We start from the raw sequence: 7,802 nt of genomic DNA, 5'->3' as shown, positions 1-7,802 counted from the left end.
CTTCTCGGCTTGAGTTCTCATCAGTCAGCTGAAAGTCTGCTTAACTACTAGGACCTCTCTAGACACAAAGAAGCTCCACACATGTCCTAAGTTGGATAAGGCATCAGGGCCCTTTTTCTGTAGTGGGGAAGCTTAGGAAGGCAGCAAGATGTGGAGTGACAAACAAAAACAAAATACAAATAAAAGAAAAAAAATCACAGAAATTTCTTAAAGAACTAATAGTAGATCTACCATTCAATCTGGCAATCCCACTACTGGATATCTACCTAAAGGAAAAGAAGTTATTATATCAAAAAGACACCTACACGTGTATGTTTATTGCAGCACAATTCACAATTGCAAAGATATGGAATCAACCTAAGTGTTCATCAGCCAATGAGTGGATAGAGAAAAGGTGGTACATATACACCACGGAATACTACTTAGTCATAAAAAAGAATGAAATAATGTCTTTTGCAGTAACTTGAATAGAGCTGGAGTCCACTACTCTAAGTGAAGTAACTCAGGAATGGAAAACCAAATACCATATGTTCTCATGTGTAAGTGGGAGCTAAGCTATGAGGATGCAATGGCATACAGAGTGACATAATGGACTTTGGTGACTCCAAAGGAGAGTGGAGAGGGTTTAAAAAAATGACATATTAGGTACAATGAACATTACTCCGGCGACAGGTGCACTAAAATCTCAGACTTCACCACTATAAAATTAATCCATGTAACAAAAACCATTTGTACCCCAAAGCTGTTGAAAAAAGAAATCATCACTCATACAAACATCTTTACAATTCTTTAGTGCCATAACTTTCACCTAGTTACTTAACTGATGAGCCTCCAGCTCCTTCTCTGTAAAATGAGGATTATAACCTATAGCCTACTCACTATGCAAAGCTGTTGTAAAGCTTCAATGAGACAATGTTGTGAAAACACATTATAGAATGAAAAGACCATGTACCAATGTCAGGGGTTTGTTCAGTGCTTACCACCTGAACTTGCATTAGCGATTGTCATATCTGCATGTCCCCATGCATCCAGATTACTAACATCGGCTTGGGCTACAACCACAAGTGATGGTATCTGATTTTATGATTGTTATCTATTTAAAGAGTTTCTAACACTTCTGGATATCTATGTACAACGCTTCTAAATACCTATGTAGAATCATTTTCCAGGCACAGAAGTTGAAAACTGATTTTACCTGACAGCCCAGCTGTATGGCAAATATTGCCCAATTCCTAGGAAGGGTAACTCTATTTACTTTTCCTATTTAAGCTACAATCATTCCAAAGTCATGGCCACCTACAGGTTTACAGATGTAACTTTATTTCCATCTGTACTGAGATATAATGAGAGTACTAAGCCCTAGCACCCCTCCTTGCAAAACCTCCTGGATATCTCCCCACAGTTAAATCTACTGACAGACAGGAATGATAACTTAGCATGTATAACACACTTGGAATTTATGACTTATTTCATCAGTTCTCCCTTAGACCCTCCTTTAGAAAGATGGTCAATAAGACACTGGTGAAGAAATCAGGTCCCAGGTGATGCCATGAGCATGATAAATCACTGTTTCCATGGATAAGACTTGTGTGATTAATTCCTCCACTAAAATCCTACAGAGTCGGTTGGTTTTGACATTAATAATAAAGGGGGCTGGGTCCAGTGGCTCACACCTGTAATCTCAGCACTTTGGGAGACCAAGATGGGAGGATCGCTTGAGCCCAGGAGTTTGAAACCAGCCTGGGCAACATAGCAAGACCCCGTCTCTACAAATTTTTTTTTTTTAATTAGCTAAGCGTGGTGGCACGTGCCTATAACCTCAGCTACTTAGGAGACTGAGTTTGAGTCCAGGAGTTTGAGGTTACAGTGAGCTATAATCATGCCACTGCACTCCAGCCTGGGCAACAGAGTGAGGCCCTATCTCAAAATAAAATAATAATAATAATAATAATGGGATCGTGAGAGCTTCATCCATGGAATCAATGAAACCAGTTGGTGCTGCCGGCCTTTCAGAACTCCACTGTTAATGATTTCTAGAGGCATTTTCCTCTAGCTGGTACAAACATTTCTCTCCTTCATAGACAGGTAACCTCATTTTCTCCAAGGTGGAACAGGGAGTTTGGGGTTCTGAGAAGGGAAGTGACTTGTGCAAAGTCATGAAATGAGCTGGCTGCAGAGCCAAGACCACAGCACTTGGCACAAAGTTGGTGCCCAAGAAATAATTGATGAACGAATGACTGTATGAACCCAAATCTGGAACTCACTTTTCTCCCCTGACTATCCTTTACAAGAAGCCACTCAGATTCCAGCCGCGTTTTCTCCTCTTCAGGGATGAAGTGGCTTTCCCTAAGCCTTACAAAGTCCTAGTCCTGGACTGTCCAATAAAATTGCCACATGCCACGTGTGGCCGTGAAACACTTGAGATGCAGCTGATTCAAATTAGAATGAGCTGTAAGTCAATCTCAAATTCTGAAGGCTTACTGTGAAAAAAACTAAATTATCTCATTATAACTTTTATATTGATGACATGTTAAAATGGCAATAGTTTAGATTAACTGGCTTATATAAAATCTAATAATATCATGAAAACTAATTGTTCCTGTTCCTTTTTACTTTTTAAAAAGGGCTACTGGAACATTTTAAATTCCATTTACAGCTTTCATTTATGGTTTGCATTCTCCTTCTCTTGGAAAGCACTGTAATCTAGTCTATAAAAGTTTTGGAAAAAGAATTACATACTGAATTGTTAACCTTTCAATAACAATTACTTCTTCAGGCTAGCCAAGAACCCAGGAAACACAGGTAAGGGTAATAATTTTGTTTTCAACACAAAAGAAACATTTCTCTTTACCCTTATCCTTTCCCTAAAGTTTCCACTGGACCCTCCTTAATTGTGTAACTGAAAAGCTGGGACACTCGCTGAGGTATTGGTAGTGGGCTGGCAGCTGGCTGGCCAGCCCAGGAGGTGGGATGCCTAATCAGAATAGCCACCACCCCCATCCCAGCTGCCACAGGCACAGACCTCCCGTGTGAACAGGGGAAGTGTTTTTCAGTATACTTTTGGTGGACAAGTTTTAATAAAACTAATTACTGTAATAGCTAACGTTTATATAGCACTTTACAATGTAGAAAAATACTTTCCCATATGTCACCACTTTTTTCTTTTTTTTTTGAGACAGAGTCTTACTCTGTCACCCAGGCTAGAGTGCGGCCTGATCTCGGCTCACTGCAACCTCTTCCTACTGGGCTTAAGTGGTTCTTCAGCCTGGGACTACAGGCATGAGCCACCAACATCCGGCTATTTTTTGTATTTTTTGTAGAGACAGGATTTTGCCATGTTGGCCAGGCTGGTCTTGAACTCCTGAGCTCAAAGTGATCTGCCTGCCTTGGCCTCCCAAAGAGCTGGGATTCCAGGCATGAGCCACCATGCCCGGCTTCCTCATTTGATTCTCATGGCAACTCTGTGATATGGGCATTACTGTGATCCTGTTTGACAGATAAGACACTAAACTCAAAGACGCAAAGAGGTTAAGAGGCTTGTTCATGATCACACAGCTTAAAAGGGATAGATCTGGTTTTAAGTCTTGGTCTTCTAATACAAGGACTTAGCTCTTATTTCAAGGTGTTTCCGAATCCGGTGTGTGAACTCTGACTGGCCTGACCTAGAGCTCAGTGACCTCAGGTTGTTCTTCTGCAGAACCTCTCTAGTGTAGATCAACAGTGAAGGAAGAAAGGAAAGATTCAAGAAGTAGTAGAGAAGAAAGAAACTCAGGTAAGGGAACACATGTCTTAAACCTTAAAGAGAAACTTCTCTACTGGCACACCATAATCCCCACTGTAATTACCTTCTATGCTGGGGCACAGAGAGGGAAGGGCTCTACCATGGCTAAATCCTTTTCTTTTTTTTTGACAGAGTTTTGCTCCTGTTGCCCAGGCTGGAGTGCAATGGTGTGATCTCAGCTCACTGCAACCTCCACCTCCAGTTTCGAGCGATTCTCCTGCCTCAGCTTCCCAAGTAGCTGGGATTACAGGCGCCCGCCACCACGCCTGGCTAATTTTTTGTATTTTTACTAGAGATGGGGTTTCATCATGTTGGCCAGGCTGGTCTCGAACTCCTGACCTCAGGTGATCCACCTGCCTCGGCCTCCTAAAGTGCTGAGATTACAGGAGTGAGCCACCACGCCTGGTCGGCTAAATCCTTATTGGTGTAAGTCCTACCTACCACTGGGAAAAAGGAGGTTTTATCCCCATTTGGGAGGTGAAGAAACTGAGTCTCAGAGGTCTTAAGTTATTGATGCCTAGTGTTCTACTATTGGAACGCTAAGCTTGTGGGAGTTATTTGTATCCTACTGCTCAAGGTCATCGCCAAGGTCTGATTTTTCACACAAAAAAATTTGTGACCTCCGGCATAAATGTGTTAAGTCCAATGTCCATTCCACCACCCTAAGTTGCTTTTGTGCATCAATATACAAATCACATGTATTTTTATTATCTCCATTTATTCTTGTTGTTATTAATTATTTCATAATAATATCCTTCTAGATCTTTGCATTTATTCTGCTTTGTTTGGCTTTTTAGGACACATTAGCATCTTTTAAAATACAATGTTTGTTTTCTATTTTTTTTTCTTTTATTTTTGAGACGGAGTTTCACTCTTGTAGCCGAGGCTGGAGTGCAATGGTGCGATGTTGGCTCACCGCAACCTCTGTCTCCTGGGTTCAAGCGATTCTCCTGCCTCAGCCTCCCAAGTAGCTGGGATTACAGGCACGTGCCACCACTGACGGTTAATTTTTTGCATGTTTGGTAGAGACGGGGTTTTGCCATGTTAGCCAGGCAGGTCCCAAACTCCTGACCTCAGGTGATCTGCTTGTCTCGGCCTCCCAAAGTGCTGGGATTACAGGCATGAGCCACCGTGCCTGGCAGTGTTTGTTTTCTGATCAACATACTTAAGGTTATAAATTTTACCCCAGATATTATTTTTGCTGCATCCATGGGTTTTGATATTTCCAGTACGTATAATAGTATCAAAACCTATTTCATTAATGATATTTCATGAATACCTTCATTATCATTCAGTTCTAAATATTTTATGATTTCCACTGGGTTTTCTCTCTAGCCCATGGATTATTTATAAGGATGATTTTTGCTGTCCAAAACTGTTACCTATTTTTTGAATAGATAATATGTACACATAAAACAAAATTCAAGAAATAAAAAATGCAGAAAAAAGTCTCTCAGAAGCTACATCTGTTTGAGCCCACGCATGTGACATAATGGAAAAGGCAAAACTGTAGGGACAGAAAACAGATCAGTGCTGTCGGGGGCTGAGGGTGGTGCCACGGCTTGACTATAGAGGGACAGGAGAAAATTAGGGGTGACGGAAGCAGTCTATATGTACATTGCTGTGTGCCCCCATGGCTGCACGCATTTGTCAAAACTGGGGGAAATGTATACTAAAAGGGGCGAATAGCAGTGTATGTAAATTATACCTTAATTTAAAAAAGTAAGTCTCCCTCCCCTCTCCTGCGCCCCAGGCACCTTGATTCTCTCCATAGAGGCAACCACTGTTACCAGCTTCTGAAGTATAATTTTATGGGCTATTTTATTCATTTTCAAGTGTATACCTATTTTTTAGACACAAATGGCAACATTATTTATTAATAATTTTTTTCTTTTTTTAAAAAAGCTGTATTGAGGTATCACACCATATAATTCACTTATTTAAAATGTGTGATTTAGTGTGTTCACAGTTATGTGGACACCACCACAATCAATTTTAGAATATTTGTGTCTCCCCCAAAGAAACCCTTTACCCTCCCATTCTTAGACAACAACTCATTTCCCTGTACCTAGGCAACTAGTAATCTACCTTCTATCTTTATGGATTCGCCCATTCTGGATATTTCTTGTCAGTGGAATCATACCATACTTGGTTTGTTTAGAGAGAGGTGGTATCCATTAGCACCTAGCTTCTAGATTCAATAGATACCAAGTTATTTGGTAAAGGTGGGGGCTATAAGATCTCTCCAATGTAAAGATACATTTATTGTTTGTAATTAGTAACAAAACTGTGGGGTGATATTTTGAGACTATGAATATTCTGTTTCCTAACAGCATATCATCTAGTGGTTTTAGTGTCCATTGAAGATGCTTGTGTAAATCAGTGAGACATTGGGATTACAAAGTAGTCATTTTCTATTACTATCATATCTTCAGGAATTATTTAGTTCATAGTATTTCTAATTCAGACGTATTGTACACAGTTTGTTCTTCTGTTTTTTGTTTGTACCTGTTTTCTCTCACTATGAAAGTCTTGGTTCCTAATAACAAATAAATGTTTTCTTTTATTTTAAATATAATTAATCATATCAACATATTTACATTATCCTATAATGTACATTATAATGGTCCGGAAGTCTTATCATACCTAAAATGTTTCACATTACAGTACCAAATAGGAATGCTGGATCATAGGATAAAAGCATATATGATTTTGTTAAATAATACCAGATTCACCCAATAGGGTTTTACCATTTCGCATTCTTGCCAGCAATGTAAGAGTTTCTATTTTCTTACAGCCTCATCAGTATAGTGTGTTGTTAAGCTTTTGAATTTTTGCCAAATAGATGAGAAATGGTATATCTGTGTAGCATATATTTTAAAAACTTTTCTATTATGGAGATTTGTGAACATCCACAAAAATAGAATAGTGTAACCAATCCCATGAACACCATCATTTAGCCCCAGCAACTACCAACCCAACCACCAATGCCTCCTCCGTTTATTCCCTTCTCTCAAATTATTTTGAAACAAATCCCAGATAATATTTTTCTTTTCTTTTTCTTTTCTTTTCTTTCTTTCTTTTTTTAAATTTAAATTTAAATTTTTTTTATTATACTTTAAGTTCTAGGGTACATGAGCTCAACATGCAGGTTTGATACATAGGTATACATGTGCCATGTTGGTTTGCTGCACCCATCAACTCCTCATTTACATTAGGTATTTCTCCTAATGCTATCCCTCCCCTAGTCCCCCACCCCCCAACAGGTCCCAGTGTGTGATGTTCCCCACCCTGTGTCCAAATGTTCTCATTGTTCAATTCCCACCTATAAGTGAGAACATGCGGTGTTTGGTTTTCTGTCCTTGTGATAGTTTGCTGAGAATGATGGTTTCCAGCTTCATCCATGTCCCTGCAAAGGACATGAACTCATCCTTTTTTATGGCTGCATAGTATTCCATGGTGTATATGTGCCACATTTTCTTAATCCAATCTATCATTGATGGACATTTGGGTTGGTTCCAAGTCTTTGCTATTGTGAATAGTGCCGCAATAAACATACGTGTGCATGTGTCTTTATAGTAGCATGATTTATAATCCTTTGGGTATATACCCAGTACTGGGATTGCTGGGTCAAATCGTAATTCTAGTTCTAGATCCTTGAGGAATCCCCACGCTGTCTTCCACAATGGTTGAACCAATTTACACTCCCACCAATAGTGTAAAAGCGTTCCTATTTCTCCACATCCTCTCCAGCATCTGTTGTTTCCTGACTTTTTAATGATTGCCATTCTAACTGGCATGAGATAGTATCTCATTGTGGTTTTGATTTGCATTTCTCTGATGACCAGTGATGATGAGCATTTTTTCATATGTCTGTTGGCTGCATAGATGTCTTCTTTTGAGAAGTGTCTGTTCATATCCTTTGCCCACTTTTTGATGAGGTTGTTTGTTTCTTGTAAATTTTTTTGAGTTCTTTGAGGATTCTGGATATTAGCCCTTTGTCCGATAGGTAGATTGCAAA

This window comes from Homo sapiens, chromosome 20, assembly GCF_000001405.40.
Source record: "Homo sapiens chromosome 20, GRCh38.p14 Primary Assembly".
Taxonomy (NCBI): Eukaryota; Metazoa; Chordata; class Mammalia; order Primates; family Hominidae; genus Homo; species Homo sapiens.
The sequence above is the reverse complement of the archived record's forward strand: the minus strand, read 5'-3'. Positions refer to the sequence as shown.